The sequence below is a fragment of the Homo sapiens genome, chromosome 5, assembly GCF_000001405.40.
Source record: "Homo sapiens chromosome 5, GRCh38.p14 Primary Assembly".
In the NCBI taxonomy this organism is placed as follows: domain Eukaryota; kingdom Metazoa; phylum Chordata; class Mammalia; order Primates; family Hominidae; genus Homo; species Homo sapiens.
In genome coordinates this window covers 81,672,078-81,690,802 of record NC_000005.10, presented here as the reverse complement: position 1 = coordinate 81,690,802, position 18,725 = coordinate 81,672,078, and the positions used below count along the sequence as shown (strand labels likewise).

The window sequence follows — 18,725 nt, the reverse complement described above, 5'->3', positions numbered from 1 at the left end:
CTGTTTTGAATGATCCATGTGGGGAGAAGAATGTGTATTCTGCAGCTATTGGATGAAGTGTTCTGTAAATATCTATTAGGTCCATTTGGCCTATAGTGAAGATTTGGCCTATTTGTTGACTTTTTTTGTCTGAACGATCTGTCAAATGCTCAAAGAGGGTTGTTGAAGTCTCCAGCTATTATTCTATTGGGGTTTATCTCTCTAACTCTAATAATAGTTGCTTTATATATTTGGGTGCTGCAGTGTTGTATGCATATGTATTTACAATTGTTATATTCTTTGCTGAATTGATCACTTTATCATTATATAATGGCCTTCTTTGTCTTGAAATCTGTTTTGTCTGATATACGCATAGTTACTTCTGTTCTTTTAGGTTTCTGTTTGCATGGAATATCTTTCTTAATCCCTTTATTTTCAGTCTTTGTGTCTTTTTAGTGAAGTGTGTTTATTGTACGCAACAGATCGTTGGATCTTGTTTTTATATCCACTCAGCTACACTATGACTTTTGACTGGAGAGTTTAGTCCATTTACATTCAATGTTATTATTGATAAGTTAAGTACTTACTCCTGCCATTTTGTTATTTGTTTTCTGGTTGTCTTATGGTCTTCTCTTTCTTCTTTTCTTCCTTCCTGTCTTCCTTTTAGTGAAGGTGATTTTCTCTGGTATTATGTTTTAATTTCTTGCTTTTTATTTTTTTGTTTATCTGTTGTATTCTTTTTGATTTGAGGTTACCAGAAATCTTGCAAATAATATCTTATAACCCATTATTTTTAAACTAATGAAACTTAACACTGATTGCATAAAGAAACAGAGAAAACTAGTAAAAACTCTACATTTACTTCATCCCCACTTTTAAACATTTTTTGTTTCTATTTATATGTTATTGTACTGTCTACATCTTGAGAAGTTGTAGTTTTTATTTTTGATCAGTTTATCTTTTAGTTTTTCTACTCCAGATATGAATGGTTTAAACACCACAATTACAGTGTCACAATATTCTATGTTTTTCTGTGTACTTACCATACCAGTAAGTTTTGTACCTTTAAATGATTTTATGTTGCTCACTAATGTTCTTTTCTTTCATATTAAATAACTCCCTTTAGCATTTCTTGTAGGGGAGGTCTGGTGTTGATGAAATTACTCAACTTTTTTGGGAAAGTTTTTATTTCTTCTTCATGTTTGAAGGATATTTTTGCTGGATATATTATTCTAGAAGTTTTTTTTTTTTCTTTAGCACTTTAGGTACTCTCTCCTGGCCTGTAAGGTTTCAGCTGAGAAATCTGCTGTCAGATGTATTAGAGCTTTATTGTATGTTATTTGTTTCTCTTTTGCTGCTTGTAGGATTCTTTCTTTATCCTTGACCTTTGGGAATTGATTATTAGATGCCTTGAGATAGTCTTATTTCGGTTAAATATGCTTAGTGTTCTATAACTTTATTGTACTTAAATATTAATACCTTTCTCTAGGTTTGAGAATTTCTGTTATTATTCCTTTGAATAGTCTCTACCCTTATCTCTTTTTCTACCACCTCTTTACAGCCAATAACTCTTAGATTTGCCCTTTGAGGCTATTTCCTACATCCTGTAAGCATACTTTATTCTTTTTTCTTTTTTTCTCCTCTGACTGTATACTGTCAAATAGCTTGTCTTCAAGCTCACTAATTTGTTCTTCTGCTTGATCAATTCTGGTGTTAAGAGACTCTGATACATTCTTCAGTATGTCAGTTGCGTTTTTCAACTTCAGAATTTCTGCTTGATTCTTTTTATTAATATTTCAATCTCTGTTAAATTTATCTGATAACATTCTGAGTTCCTTCTCTGTGTTTTCTTTAATTTTGCTGAGTTTCCTCAAAAACAGCTATTTTAAATTCTGTCTGGAAGTGCACATATCTCCATCTCTCCATTATTGGTCTCTGGAGGCTTATTTAGTTTGTTTATTGAGGTTGTGTTTTCCTGGATGGCCTTGATGCATGCAGTTGTTCATCAGTGTTCGAGCATTGAAGAGTTAGGCATTGTAATCTTTGCAATTTGGGCTTGTTGTGCCTTTCCTTATTGGGAAGGCTTTTCAGGTATTTGAAGGGACTTGAGCCCCAAACCCAATAAAGCTGTGGTTCTTGCAGACTTGTAGAGGTACTGCCTTGTTGGTCTTACATGAGATCTGGAAGCTTTCCCTGGATTACCTGGTGGAAACTCTTATTCTTTTTCTTTACTTTCTTCCAAACAAACAGTCTTTCTGTCTGTGCTGAGGTGCCTGGAGCTGCGTGAGGGGTGACACAAGCACCCCCGTGGCTATAACCACTGGGTCAGACATGAAGCTGGTCCAGCACTGGGTCACACCCAAGGCCTGTGGTAACCACTGTCTGGCTACCACCTATGGTTGCTCAAGGCCCTAGGGCTCTATAATCAGCAGATGGCAAAGTCAGCCAAGCTAATGTTCTTTGTTTCAGGGCGGCAAGTTTCCCCTGGTCCTGGGCGGATCCAGTGATGCCATTCAGCAGCCAGGGCCTGGAGTCAGAAACTTTAGGAATCTACTTGGTATTCTATTCTGTGCCTGAGCTGGCACCCGAATCATAAGACAAAGTCCTTCTCAGTCTTCCCTCCCCTTTCCTTGAGCAGAGGAATCTCCCTGTGGCTCCTATTACCCCAGGCCTGCAGTGAATACTGCCTGGCTACTGCTCCCTTCAGGACAGTGGGCTTCCTTCTGGGCCAGGACAGGTCCAGAAATGCCATCCAAGAGCCAAGGCCTGGACCCAGGGCCAAGCAGGTACCCTACTGTGGCCAAGCTGGTACCTAAGCTGCAAGACAAAGTACCCTTTTGTCTTCCTTCTCGTTTTCTCAATCAGAAGGAGTTCCTCCTTGTAGCAACTACAGCTGGGAATGTGCTGGGTCGCACCTGAAGCCAGCACATCTCTGAGTCTTACCCAAGACCCATAGCAAGTACTGCCTGGCTACCACTGCTGATTATTCAGGCCCCAAGGGCTCTTTAGTCAGAAGGTAATGAATCCTGCCAAGACTGGGTTCTTCCCTTCAAGACAGTGGGTTCCCTACAGGCCCAGGATGTGTCTAGAAATGTCTTCTGGGAGCTAGGGCCTGGAATGGTAACTTCACGACTCTGCCTGGTGCCCTATCCTACTGTGACCGAGCTGGTTTTCAAGTTGCAAAACAAAGCCCTCTTTACTCTTCCCTCTCTTCTCCTCAAGTGGAAGGAAGGAGTATCTCCTATAGCTTTAAGCTGTGCTGCCTGGGGTTGATTGAGGGAGGAGTGGTACAAGTACTCCCTTGGCCACCCTGGCTGGTGTCTCACTGGGTCATATGCCCTGCACATTCACTGGCTTTGAGTCCAGCACAGCATCAGGACTTGCCCAGGAATTGTAGTACTTGTGTTCTAGATTGTATTTCATGTTTATTTAGCACCAAACACTTTAGCCCATGGTGGTAAAGCTTGCCAGAACTCAGGTTCTGGCCACTGGGCTGGGGGATTCCCCTCTGGCTAGGGCTGGTCTATATGCTCCCTCCATGAGTGCCAACTGAGTTCTGTTCGGTGTTGCTCTCTGCTGTGACATGCAGCACTGAGTTCCAATGCGAAGTCCCACAGTCACTGTGCTCTCCCTCCCACAATGGCACAGATTCTCCGTACCATGCGGCCGCTGCCGGGTGATCGGGTAGGGTGGCATCAGTAATTCAAAACTGTCTTTTCTACTCTCTTCAGTGCTGCTTTCAGTGATCCGAAGTTAAAACCAGGTACTGTTATGACTCGTCTGATTTTTGGTTCTTAGGAAGGTCCTTTTTTGTGTGAATAGTCATTCACTTCGGTGTTCTTGCTGGGAGGACAATGGGTGGATGCTTCTATTTGGCCATCTTTCTCCACTTCCCATTTTGTCACTTTTTCTTTTCTTTTCTTTTCTTTTCTTTTCTTTTCTTTTCTTTTCTTTTTTTTTTTTTTTTTTGAGATGAAGTCTCGCTCTGTTGCCCAGGCTGGAGTGCAGTGGTGCAATCTTGGCTCACCGCAACCTTCACCTCCTGGGTTCAAGCGATTCTCCTGTCTCAGCCTCCTGAGTAGCTAGGACTATAGGCACATGCCACCACACCCGGCTAATTTTTGTATTTTTAGTAGAGACGGGGTTTCACCATACTGGCCAGGCTTGTTTTGAACTCCTGACCTCGTGATCTGCCTGCCTCAGCCTCCCAAAGCGCTGAGATTACAGGCATGAGCTACCGTGCCCGGCCCCATTTTGTCACTTTTTTAGTGACTTGTTCTGTATTTACTAAATACAATAATTACTGGCTTTTTAAATTCACTATGTCCTATGAAACTATAACCTCAGAATAAATCTTAATATAAAAAATACATTTCCTAAGATTTTGCAAGTTGATTTTAGGTATTTAAGTACTTTCTGTCTTAGATTTGTTTATAAAGTGAAAAGCCATATACATGTTAAAGGGCCATTAATTTAGTAAATATTACATTTTATTCAGTAAATTTACAATATGAATTTGATTTACATTAAAAATATCCAACAGATCTTCACTTGCGATCACTGTAACTAGGATTAATTTTCATTTCATCTGTAAGGCATACATATTTCAATATGAGATGATCATTTTGGTGACATTTAATGGGAATTTGGTTGATAAATGTGGCTCTTTATTTTAAAGGAATAACTGGTTCAGTGAAATAGTAAGGCTATCTGGATTCAATTAAAAATTAACCTGAGTGGATTAAGTTGATTTCTTCTTTTGTTGAAGTTGATTCCTACCTTTCTTACTGTCTAACCTTTTGGGAAATTTTTTGAGAAAAATGTCAAGACTTATCCCATGTGCTTTGAAGAATTTTATTTACATAGCGAACTGAGGAAGATTCCAGTTAATGTACTTTTGGGGTATTCTGGGGGAATTATTTACAAAGCAAATAATGATATTCTTTGTGCATTATTTCTAAAATAAATGGAAGGTTTTCTAGGTTTAGATTAGGCAGATTAAATGTGATTTGGATAGTCTATTTTGTGGACCACCCAGTGGCTAAAAGTGCCCTTGGCTGTTTATTGCTTAGGTATCTAGAACCCCATCTGTTGGGGTTTTGGAATTGGCTGTCTATTCAGTAAAGTTGGAACCTCTTTCCATTAAGTGGTGAAAACACCTGTGCTTCCTACCGCAAGAACAAAAGAAGTTAATATAGCCCATCTGCAGGTGCTACAAGTATTAACAGATAAGCCTCCCCTTCTCTGGTTCTATAAGTAGGGCAACTTCTTTTTAATTAATAAAATTTATTTTTTAAAGCAGTTTAAAGTTCAGAGCAAAATTGAGTGTGAAGCACCGAGAGTTCATATATACTCCTTCTTTCCCTCCACACATCCTGCCTGATTATCCATATCTTACATGTGCCACAGTGGTACATTTGTTACAATTGCTGAATACATTAAGACATCATTATCATATATAGTTCAAATTAGGGTTCATTCTTATATATCCTATCAGTTTTGACAAATGTATCCTATATATTAACCATTGTAGTATCATACTGTATTAGTCTATTGTTATGCTGCTATAAAGAACTACCTGAGACTGGGTAATTTATGAAGAGAAGAGATTTAATTGACTCACAGATCTGCAGACTTAACAGGAAGCATGACTGGGAGGCCTCAAGAAACTTAAAATCATGGCAGAAGGTGAAGGGGAAGCAAGCACCTTCTTCACATGCAGCAGGAGAGAGAGAGCGAGTGAAGGGGGAAGTGCCATACACTTTTAAACTATCAGATCTCGTGAGAACTCACTATCACAAGAAGAACAAGGGGGAAATCCAGCCCCATGATCCAATCACTTCCCACCAGGCCCCTCCTCCAATTCCCCATGAGATTTGTGTGGGGACACAAATCCAAACCATATCATTCTGCCCCTGGCCCCTCCCAAATCTTATGTCCTTCTCACATTGCTAAATACAATTATCCCTTCTCAATAATCCCCCTCAATAGTCCCCCAAGTCTTAACTCATTCAGCATTAACTCAAAAGTCCACAGTCCAAAGTCTCATCTGAGACAAAGTAAGTCCCTTCTGCCCATGAGCCTGTGAAATAAAAAACAAGTTAGTTACTCCAAGATGCAGTCGGGGTACAAGCATCGGGTAAATGCTCCTGTTCCAAATGGGAGAAATTGGCTAAAACAAAAGGACTATAGGCCCCATGCATGTATAAAACCCAGTAGGGCAGTCATTAAATCTTAAAGCTCCCAAATAACCTCCTTTGACTCCGTGTCTCACAACCAGGGCACAATGATGCAAGAGGTGGGTCCCAAGGCCTTGGGCACATACAGACTAGTTTTACTACCCTAAAAATACCCTGTATTCTGCCCATTCATCCCTCTGTCTCTCTGAACCCCTGGCAACCACTGATCTTTTTGCTGTATCCATAGTTTTGCCTTTTCCAGATTATTATGTAATTTGAACCATGCAGTTCATAGCCTTTTCAGATTGGCTTCTTTCACTTAGTAATATGTGTTTAAGTTTCCTCTGTGTCTTTACATGACCAACTCATTTCTTTCTAGTGTTGAATAATATTTCATTGTCTAGATGTACTACAATTTATTTCTTCATTTACCTACTGAAGAATCTTGGTTGCTTCTATGTATTGGCAATTGTAGGTAAAGCTGCCATAAACATTTGTGTGCATGTTTTCATGAGGAAATAAGTTTTCAGTTTTTTGAGTAAGTATTAAGGAGATGAATTGCTGGATTGTATGTTAAGAATGTGTTTAGCTTTGTAAGAAGCTACCAAATTGTCCTCCAAAGTGGCTGTCCCAGTTTGCATTTCCACCAGCAATGAATGGAAATTCTTGTTGCTTCACATTTTTGTCAGCATTTGGTGGTGTCAGTATTTTGAATTTTGGCCATTCAAATATTTGCATAGTGGTATTTAGTTTTAACTTGAAATTCCCTAATGATGTATGATATTGAGCATCTTTTTGTATGCTTACTTGCCATCTCTATATCTTCATTGGTGAAAGGCTTTTTTGTTCATTTTTTAATCAGGTTGTTCATTTTCTTGTTGTTTTAAGAGTTCTTTGCTTATTTTGGATCAACAGTCCTTTATCAGATGTGTTTTTTGCAAACATTTTCCCTCATTCTGTGCCTTCTCATTCTCTTGACAGTGCCTTTCACACAGTTTTTAATTTTAATGAAGCCAAACTTACCAGTTATTTCTATCACAAAATGTTTTGTGTTGAATCTAAAAAGTCATTGCCATATCCAAGGTCAGTTAAGTTTTCTCCTATGTTATCTTCTAGGAGTTTTATTGTTTTACATTTTCATTTAGGTATATGATCCATTTTTAGTTAATTTTTTTGTGAAGGGCACAAGATATGTGTCTAGATTTATTTTGTTGCACATCTATGCTCAATTGTTCAAACACCATTTGTTCAAAGACTATCTTTGCTCCATTGTATTGCCTTTACTCCTTTGTCACAGATCAGTTGACTATATTTATGTGGGTCTGTTTCTGGGCTCTTTATTCTGTTCCACTGATCTACTTGTCTATTCTTCAGTACCACACTTCTTTAGTACTGTAGTCAAATAGTGTCAGTCCTCTGACTTTATTCTTCTTTCAGTATTGTTGGTTATTCTGGGGTTTTGCCTCTTTATACAAATTTTAGAATTAATTTTTTGATATCCACAAAATAATTGCTGGGATTTTGATTGGGATTGCATTGACTCTATAGATTAAGTTGGAAAGAGCTGACATCTTGATGATATTGAGTCTTCCTCTCCATGAACATGGTATCGCTCTCATTTACTTATTTCTTTTTTGATGTCTTTCAACAGAGTTTTGAAGTTCTCCTCATATAGATCTTGTACATATTTTGTTAGATTTATACCTGTGTATCTCATTTCTAGGGTGCTAATGTAAATGGTAATGTATTTTTAATTTTAAATTCCACTTGTTCATTGCTAGTATGTAGGGAAGCGATTTTTTCTGTTAATCTTGTGTTCTGCAAACTTACTATAATTGTTTATTAGTTCCAGCAAGGGTGTTTTTTTGTTTATTCTTTTGTATTTCTACATAGATGATTATGTCATCTGTGAACAAAGACAGTTTGATCTTTTCAATCTGTTTGCCTTTTATTTCCTATTTGTGTTTTATTGTGTCAGGTGATACTTCCAGTACAATGCCAAAAAGCAGTGGTAAGAGGGAACATCCTTGACATTTTTATGACCTTAGTGGGAAAACTTCAGGTTTTTCACCGTTAAATATGTTATCTGTAGGTTATTAGATGTTCTTCATCAAGTTGAGGAAGTTCCCCTCTATTTCTAGGTTACTCAGAGTTTTTTATCATGAATGGGTGTTGGATTTTATCAAATGCTACATGTATGGATGTAATTGTAATTTTTTTCTTCAGCCTGTTGATGTGACCACTTATACTATTTGATTTTTGAATGTTGAACCAGCTTTGCATACCTGGAATAAAACTCAGTTGGTTCTGTGCTGTATAATTCCTCCTATACATTGTTGAATATTTTGTTGAGGATTTTTGCATCTGTGTTCATGAGAGATATTGGTCTGTCATGTTCTTTTCTTGTAATGTCTTTGTCTGGTTTTGGTATTGATAGAATGAGTTAGAAGGTATTCCCCTGGCTTCTATTTTATGAGAGATTGTAGAAAATTACTCTAATTTCTTCCTTAAATATTTGGGAGAATTCGCCAGCCCACACATCTGGGCTTGGCTCTTTCTCTTTTGGAACATTATTAATTATTGATTCAATGTTTCTAATACAGGTATAGGCCTATTCAGGTGGTCTGTTTCTTCCTGTGTGAGTTTGGTATATTATGACTTTCAAGGAACTGGTCTATTTCATCTAGGTTATCAAATTTTTGAGTATAGAGGTGTTCATAGTATTTATTATTCTTTTAATATCCATGGGATCTGTAGTGATGTCTTATCTTTCATTTCAGATATTAGTAACTTGTCTTCTCTTTTTTTGTCAGTTAGCTTGCTAGAGGCTTATCAATTTTATTTATCTTTTCAAACAACCAGCCTTTGGCTTTGTTGATTTTCTCTGTTGGTTTCCTTTTCATCAATTTCATTGATTTCTGCTCAGATTTTTTCCTCTGGCTTATTTTGGATTTAATTTGCCCTTCTTTTCCTTAGTTTCCTAAGGTGAAAGCTAAGATTATTGATTTAAAAAGTTTCTTATTTTCTAATATATTTATTTAATGCTATAACATTCTCTCTATGCACTGCATTTGGTACATTTCACAAATTTTGGTAAGTTGTATTTTCTTTTTTTTTTTTTTTTTGAGGTGGAGCCTGGCTCTGTTGCCTAGGCTGGAGTGCAGTGGTACGATCTTGGCTCACTGCAACCTCTGCCTGTTGGGTTCAAGCGATTCTTCCGTCTCAGCCTCCCAACTAGCTGAGATTACAGGTGCTCATCACCACACCCGGCTAATTTTTCCATTTTTAGTAGAGATGGGGTTTTGCCACGTTGGCCAGGCTGGTCCTAAAGTCCTGACCTCAGGTGATCTGCCCTCCTCGGTCTCCCAAAGTGCTGGGATTACAGGCATGAGCCACCGCGCCTGACCATATTTTCATTTTTTTAGTTCAAAATATTTATAAATTTATCTTGAGATTTCTTCTTTGACTTGTGTGTGTGTTTAGAAGTGCATTGTTTAACCTCCAAATATTTTTGGATTTTCCAGTTATCTTTATGGTATTGATTTCTAGTTTAATTCTTTTGTGTCTGAGAGCAGATACTATATGATTTCTATCCTTTTAAATTTGCTAAGGTGTGTTTTATGGCCCCAAATGTGGTTTGTCTTAGTGAATGTTCCATATGAACTTGAATAAAATGTATGATCTGTTGTTGTTGGAAGAAGTAGCCTATAGATGTCAATTATATCCAGTTTATTGATGGTGCTGTTGAGTTCAAGTAGGTCCTTATGGATTTTCTGCCTGCTGGAACCGTCCATTTCTCATAGAAGAGTGTTAAAGTCTCCAAGTATAATACAATAGTAGGTTCATCTATTTCTCCTTGTAGTTCTATCAGTTTTTACCTCATGTATTTTGTCACTCTGTTGTTAAGTGCATACGCATTAAAGTTTTTTATGTCTTCTTGGAGTAGTGACCCCTTTACCATTACATAATGTCCCTCTTATTCCAGATAGGCCTCCTTACTCTGAAGTCTGCTTTGTCTGAAATTAATATAGCTACTCTGGCTTTCTTTTGATTGGCATTAGCATGGTATATCTTTCTCCATCCATTTACTTTTAAACTATGGGTGTCTTTTATATTTAAGATGGGTATCTTGTAGACAACATACAGCTGAGTCTTATTTTTTTGATCCACTCTGACAATCTCTTTTAATTGGTGTAGTTACACCACTGACGTTTAATGTGATGGCATTAGTTTGAGTTCTCCAAGAAACAGAACCTATAGATTATGTTATATATAATTATATAGATTATATTATAAGTTATATATAATAAATTATATATTATAACATAATTATATATTATATATAATATACACATATACATACATGCATATTTATTATTATGAGGGATTGGCTCATATGATTATGGAGGCTAAGTCCCACAATCCTTCATCTGCAAGCTGGAGGCCCAGGAAAGCTGGTGATGTAGTTCTAGTCCAAACTCAGATGCCTGAAAACCATGAGAGCTAATGGTGTAAGTCCCAGTTTGAGTCTAAAGGCCCAAGAACAGGGTGGGGTGGCAGGGCCAGGTGTTGGGAACGGTTTCTGTTTGAGTTCAATGTCCAGAGAACTAGGAACAGCAGTGTCTGAGGACAGAAGGTAGATGGCCCACCTCAAGCAGAGAGAGAAAATTTGCTTTTTTTTTTTTTTTCCACCTTTTTATTCTATTGAGGCCTTCACCAGATTGGATGATGCCCATTCTTATTAGTGAGGGCAATCTTTTTTACTCACTCTACCAATTCAAATGCAAGTCTCTCCCAGACACACTACCATAGACATAACCAGAAATGTATGATGTTTTACCACCTATCTGGAATCCCTTACCCTAGACCTGTAAGACTTAACCATCACAGTGATTATTGATGTAGTTGGATTAATATTTACCATATTTATTACTGTTTTCTATTTGTTGGCACTTGTACTTTGTTCTTATTTTTGCCTCACATACTTGTTTGCCTTTTGTAGTTGAGCATTGTATATGATTCCATTTTTCTCCTTTTTTAGCATATCAATTATGCTTTTAAAAAACTTTTATAGTGTTTGCTCTGAAGTTTGAAATATACATTTTTATAACTAACCCAAATTCACTTTCAAATAACACTATACCACTATATGGTTAGTGTAAGTACCCTATTATAGCAAAATATTACTAATTCCTTCCTCTCATTCCTTTTATTGTTGCTGTCATTCATTTTACTTACATATAAGGATACGTATATAAGCATACATAATCAAATACATTGTTGATATTTTACTTTGAACCAACTATCTATTAGGTCAATGAAGAATAAGAAAAGTAGTCTGGGCACAGTGGCACATGCCTGTAATCCCAGCACTTTGGGAGGCCAAGGTGGGTGGATCACTTGAGATAAGGAGTTCTAGGCCAGCCTGGCCAACATGGCAAAACCCCGTCTCTACTAAAAATACAAAAATTAGCTGGGTGTGGTGGTGTGTACCTATAATCCCACCTACTCTGGAAGGTGAGGCAGAGAATCGCTTGAACCTGGGAGGCAGAGGCTGCAGTTAGCTGAGATTGTGCCTTTGCACTTCAGCCTGGGCGACAGAGTGAGACTCCATCTCAAAATAAATAAATAAATAAAAAATTTTATTTTACCTTTACTTATTCATTCTATAATGCTCTTCCTTTTTTAAAAATGTAGACCCAAGTCTGACAGATGTTAATTTCTTTATCTCTGAAAAATTTATTTTAAAATTTCTTTCAAAGTAGGTCTGCTGGCAACAAATTTTCAATTTTTATGGGTCTTTATTTCACTTTTGAAAGATAATTTCACAGGATATAGAATTCTAGGTTTGGCGTTCTTTTATTTTTTTTCCTCTCAACTCTACTTTATTCCTGCGTACATAGTTTCCGAGGATAAGTCAGATATAATTCTTATCTTAGCTTTTCTGTAGATAAAGTGTTTTATTCCTTTGGCTTTTTTCAAGATTTTTTTCTTTATCTTTGATTTTCTGAAGTTTGAATATGATATGCCTAGGTGTAGGATTTTTTTGTCCTTTATCATGCTTGGTGTTCTCTGAGCTTCCTAGATTTGTGGTTTGGTGTTTGACGTTAATTTGGAAAAATTATCAGTCATTATTGCTCAGATACTACTTCTGTTCCTTTTTCTCTTTCCTTTCCTACTGCTTTTTTCATTACATGTATGTTAAAATTTTTATAGTTGTCCCACAGTTCTTGGATATTCTGTTCTTTTTATTTATTTTTTGCAGTCTTTTTCCTTCTGCTTTTCAGTTGGGACTGTTCTTGTTGAGATATCCTCAAGTTTAGAGATTCTTCCTTCAGCCACATCTAGTCTACTAATAGACCCATCAAAGACATTCCGCATTTTTTTTACAGTGTTTATGGTCTCTAGAATTTCTTTTTGATTCATTCTTAGAATTTCCATCTCTCTTCTTACATTATCCATCTGTCCTTGCATATTGTCTACTTTTTTCATTAAAGCCTTAGCATATTAGTCATAGTTTTAAGAAAATTCCTGATTGGATAATTCTAACATTCCTGCCATATCAGACCCTGGTTCTGGTTCTTGTTCAGTCTCTTCAAACTGTACATTTGCCTTTTCATATGCCATGTAATTTTTTCTTAAAGCCAGACATGATGTGCTGGATAAAAACAATTGCTGTAAATAGGCCTTTAGTAGCTTAGTGGTGTTGTGTTGGGGGAGGGAAAGCCTTTTATAGTCCTGTGATAAGGACTGTGTCTTTTGGTGAGCTGGTGCCCCTGGACTGAGCTTCATCAGTGCTTTTTTTTTTTTTTTTTCACCCTTAAGGTGGGACAAGATGTCTGGAGGGGGCTGCAATTGGTATGTCCTTTTCCTCAGGTCAGTTAGGTTCTGATTAAAACCCAGCCAGAGTATGCTGTGGCAAAATAGTTCTTCCTGAGAGCAGACCTGGTTAGGAACAGAATACACTGTGTATTCAAAAATAGTTTCTTTATTTCTCCCCTTGATAGAGGCATTAGGGTATTTTTCTCTGATACTTAGTGTGAGAACCAGATTGGGTTCTTAGAAATAAAACTTGCAAAAGTGTGGAGGCCTCTCCAGTAACTGGTTCCCCGTGGAGTTTTTTTACTCTTGGACTTGTCCACGCTGAGCCTCCAGCAATTTATCAATTACAGATTAGATTTTCCTTCCCTGGCGCTGATTCCTGCAGAGATTTCTGCTCAGGGTTTTTTGTTTGTTTGTTTGTTTGTTTCTTATGGTAAGCTGTGATTCTCTATACCTGCCTGTCTCTTCAGTTTTGGAGGGCAGTGGTTTGCCCTGTGACCTCACTTATTTTATGGAGCTAAGAATAGCTGTTGATTTTTCTGTTTGTTCAGCTTTTTACTTGTTGTTGGGATAGATTGGTGATTTCTAAGCTTCTTATATGCTGGACTAGAAACTGGATGTCCAATAGGCAACTTTTTATGCTTTGGGGCACATTAGTTTTATAAATAATTTTTCTGCCACTCTTAAAGAGTATTGAAATTTGGGGGAAAAGGAGAGTAGGCCTTAAACGAATATTATTATTCTGAGACTAAAGTAAACTTGAGAAACAGATGGAAGATCATAACACTTTACCCTGCGTATTAATTACTGAGTGACCTTGAATAAATTTTGAAATCTTCCTGGCTCTTAATTTTTCTGATAGAGTTATGAGGACTAAAGAGCCAGGCTTCCTTCTTTTCCTTTTCTTTCCTTTATCTTTTTCTTTTTCTTTCCTTTTCCCTTTCTTCCCTTCCTTTCTTCTTTCCACTAACATCTACCAGGTGTCAGAGAATTGCTAGGGATGCAAAGATAATTTGTATTTTTTTCTAGTATTAAATTCTAAAATAACTAGCTACTATACTCAGTCATAATTATTTATTTGCGTAATTTCTATAACAAAGATACAGTAGTTCTACAAAGAGGGGAAGGAGGGGGTAAGAGAGGATGGTAGTTAGGAAAGGCTTCACGGTTAAGAAATACTGGATTAGGCTCTTCAAGGAGGAGGAGCCATTTTCCTGGTTTAGCAGGAGGGGAAATTCTAGGCAGCAGCATCTGGAAAGGTAATTAGCTGTGAAACGATGCTGTTCATTTGGGGGACTGTTCGGTGTGGTTTCAACATGAATGTGTTACGTGGGTTGAGATACGGAATGAGATTGTAGAAAGAGCCATCGCTAAATCTAGGAAGACCGTGCTTGCATATTTACATATCTGGCCCCTCTCCTGTAGATATGAAGGTCTACCGATGATGGGGAAGCAACTTGAAGAGAATAACACTTTCACATCATCTTTTGACTTCACTATGGAAAGGAGCAGGAATAGGAGAAAAGAAGACCACTTCAAATACTATTATAATAGTGACAGTGAGGACATTGCCAAATAAGATGGTTATGAGCCATAGACTATAAAATTCAAAATACTTAGTGACTGGTTGGATATCAGTTAAGAGTAAGAAATTGAGCGTAACTGTCAGGTTTTTGGTTTGAGCAGCTGAGTGGCTATGGTGTCATTAACTAAGAGGCAGAACAGAGAAGCGATGGCATTTAAGTTGCCTGAGGGACTTTCAGGTGAATATGCTCAGTAAACAGTTGAATAAATACATCTGCAGCTTTTAGCACATTGAGTTGGACAGAGGTTTAGTAGTGCAAAGATTGGCTGTTTTCTATTGACTGACGTAGTGGGTCTGAGGAAAATGTGTGGAATGAGAAGACCATGAGGTAACCTTAGGGAATGTTGATATTTTAGGTCTACGTAGAGGAGAAAAGCATGTAGGAAGAACAAAGGAATGATTTAAGATATGGGGGAGAACAAGTAGGGAGTGATTTGATGTTTTAACTTTGAGGGAGTCATAATGATGATTAAATACACTAAAGAAGTAAACTAAAACAAGGATTGCACAGCAATCAGTTTGGGCAGAATTGTGTGGAACTTGTATTATGGGAAGGCTACCAAGCACCCCTGATTTATCAACACATTTACTAGTTAGGATTTCATTAGGTTGCATATAACAAAAAACGTAAAAGTAACAGGATTACAATTTATTTCCTCTTAAATAAATGAAGTTTGAAGGTTGAGAATCCAGAGATAAGCTGGCAGTTTCGTGAAGCTGTCTAGGTATCTATTCCACTTGTACCGTTTTATTTTGGCATCCCTAAAATGGTATATTCTTGTAGCCCAAGATGGAGGCTGAAACTCTAGACATCACACCTGTCTTACAAACTGGTAGCTGGATGAAGGAATGTAGAAGAGTATACACCCTGTTTAAGTCTTCCCACTTCAATCTACAACTCTTTGGCCAAACTTTAGGCAAGTGAATGTACCCAGTTTTAAGGGAGATGATGGGGGACTATTATTTTTTAGCTGGGGAACAATGTGTCTAGCTAAAAATTTGGTTTCTTACCACTCAGTGGAGAGACCCTGGAGGCAACTTCCAGTTTCTGCAATAGAAGGGATTAAAATTGTGTGTGTGTGCATGCATGTGTATATGTTTGTGCTCAGTATATGTGTTTGGGGAAGAGAATACCTTATTAAGGCTCTGTGCTTTTGGTTAATCTGCTCTTTTGGAGCTTCTATGGTATTTCTCTTGGAAATTACTGTGGATAATCAAAAGGGAACTGTTAAAAGATATAGGAATAGATTCTGCGCACAACAGTACTTTGATCTGCAATCTATTCTGCCTTCAAATACATTTAATTATGCAAATATTTAGGGCAGTCAATTAAGAAAAGTAGGCCTTTACTAAAATATTTTACTTACAGTCTATAAATTACGTTTTGATATGCCAAGAAAACACTGAAGTGGCATAGTAGTCTGGTTTAGTACCATGAGCCTATTAGAACACATTTTCTATTTAGATGACTTTGTAATTGTCAATATTAGTGTAATTTATCCCTTTCAACCGTTTTGGAATAAAAGTATGTTTTTTTAAATTATAGGGTAGATTAGGTTAAAAGGATTCAATTAATATAAAATGTAGAAATTATCTGCTCTTTGAAAAGCTAACATCTGGGAGAATTAGGAAGGAATAAATATGTTTAGAAATTGCATAATATTTTAGAGAAAAGTTTTATACTGATATACCTCTTACTGTTTAATGATTCTAAATCTAGTTGCTCCGAATTTGCTCATTTAACCAACTGTCATTGAGTCAATTGAATAAGCTTTGACTGGTAGGACCACATATTTCCCATAGATATAAATTGGCTTGGAAACTTTGGAACATTGGTCTACAGTGAGCCATGGGGAACCACACAGACTTATATTGTGAAGAAATAGAGTTTATCTTCTTAATATTTGAGTGGAGGGGTATGTGGTGAGAGTGGTAGCGGTTGTGCTAGCAGTTGCCTTAGGTTTAACTTTGACGTGTGAGCTTGCCACTTCTTGGTCCTTTACTTGGTCCCAAAGTGAGATTTCCTGGGCAGTATAATTTCTTTGAGGGAAAATACTGAATCATGATGTTTTATAGTATTTTTCTAGATATAGTAGACTAAGCTTCAGGAATTATACATCCTTAACTCTTCTACTCACTAGTTCTGTTACTCTTGAAATCATGTATTCCCTCTGGGCCAAATTTTAGTAATGATAGGATTAAATAATCTTGTACTTAGGAGATATTTTAAAGGTTATCTGGTTCAAACCTCTATTCAATGGATATAAAGCTCCTGCAATATGCCTGGCTTCAACCTGTATTTTTACACTTTCATTGATTGGACACTTCTATATCCCAACTCCCAAATGGTTCATTTCTCAGTCTGTAACATTTTTGAATAGCTCTAATGGTTACAGACAAGGTCTTTGGTATGTAGTATTGAGTTAAAAATTGCCTTCTTATCATTTTAATTCATTGATTTAGTGCCAACGTCTTTAGCCATGTGAAATAAGACCAAGCCCTCTAATACCTGACAACCTATTAAGTATTTGGGCCTTTTCTTTTTGCAGGCTATGCATCACTGACACTTTCAGCCATTTCTCTTGACTTGTCTCTTTTCTCCTCATCTTTGTAGGACTATTACCTCTTTTTTTCTAGTTCTTATAGTCTATTAATGCATTTTAAGGTAAAATTAGCTCTTTTGGCAGGGCAAATACACGATTAATTCATCTTGAATTTGCAGTCAACTAAAACCTGTCTTTTCATATGGGCTGTTGTTAAGTCATATTTGTCATCCTTTACAAGTTTTTTTGATTCAAGCACAGGATTTTACATTGGTTTTTGTTAAGTTAGTCTTAATGGATTTAGTGCAGTATTTCAGAGTTCCCTATTCTTTTGGGATCCTAATTCAGGAATATAAATATATTAGTTAGCTCCTTAGTTTTATTTTCAAATTTGGTGATTATGCTGTGATTGCTTATCCAAAATCAAAGAGTTAGTCTGATTATTTTCATCTGGACTTAGGGAAGTCAAGACGTCTTAGCTTACTGTCTTTTTATTTGGTCACCCATGGGTGCTAAATGCTTCTTAGTGCAAGTGATTAGAAAGTAAATATCTGGACCGAGTGTGGTGGCTCATGCCTGTAATTCCAGCACTTTGGGAGGCCGAGGACGGCAGATCACTACCTGAGGTCAGAAGTTTGAGATCAGCCTGGCCAACATGGCAAAACCTCGTCTCTACTAAAAATACAAAAATTAGCCATCGTGGTGGCAAGGCGCCTGTAAGTCCCAGCTACTCAGGAGGCTGAGGCGTGAGAATCGCTTTATCCTGGGAGGCAGAGGTTGCCTGAGGGATAGCACGAGACTGTTTAAAAAAAAAAAAAAGAGGCCAGGTGAGGTGGCTAACGCCTGTAATCCCAGCACTTTGGGAGGCCAAGGCAGGCAGATCACCTGAGGTCAGGAGTTTGAGATCAGCCTGGTCAATATGGTGAAATCCCGTCTCTACTAAAAATACAAAAAAATTAGCTGGATGTGGTGGCAGGCACCTGCAATCCCAGCTACACAGGATGCCGAGGCAGGAGAATCACTTGTACCTGGGAGGTGGAGGTTGCAGTGAGTCAAGATCGTGCCATTACACTCCAGCCTGGACAACAAGAGTGAAACTCCATCTCAAAAAAAAAAAAAAAGAAAAAGTATCTGGAGATTAATTTAGTTGAAGCATATGTCGTGTTTAATCTTTTCTTCCCTTGTCTATTTTTCTCTTTCATTTGTTGATTATTTTGGCTTCATATGTGGAGATCATCTTAAACATTTATTTTAGACAAAAATAATGGAAGAATCAGAATAATTTTATCTAAATTTGAAAAATATGGACTATTTTCTTGTATTTAAAAATTTTCTGGGTATTTGCTTATGATTTTGGTTACTAAGTTTTTGTGTTCCAACAGTTTTCATAGTAACCTAAATTTTAATTAGGAAATGCCATGTAGATGAATATCTTTTCAATTATATGTGCATATAAGGCTTATTTTACTGTAAGTTGAAAAATAAGAGAATTATGTGAAAAATTCTTAGTAAGCTGCTACTAATTAATAATTTCATATGTGGAAGCATTATATAAGCTATAAAACACTATAAATATAAGTTGCTATTACTGTTTTGTAGTAAAAATAATATAATGGA

At 37.1% G+C, this 18,725-nt stretch overlaps 1 protein-coding gene across 88 annotated transcripts in view, besides 1 other annotated feature; it reads left to right on the top strand.

Moving 5' to 3' along the window:
* SSBP2 (single stranded DNA binding protein 2) overlaps positions 1–18,725 on the top strand; it is a 339,004-nt gene that overhangs the window by 61,005 nt on the left and 259,274 nt on the right. The gene's annotated exons all lie outside the window — the stretch shown is intronic.
* Positions 2,528–3,028: an enhancer, noted in NCBI's record as "H3K27ac hESC enhancer chr5:80983594-80984094 (GRCh37/hg19 assembly coordinates)". NCBI's record gives its function as "activates a minimal SCP1, AML or CMV promoter by ChIP-STARR-seq in primed H9 embryonic stem cells {active_cell/tissue: H9 hESC(primed)}" and the evidence as "EXISTENCE:reporter gene assay evidence [ECO:0000049][PMID:30033119]".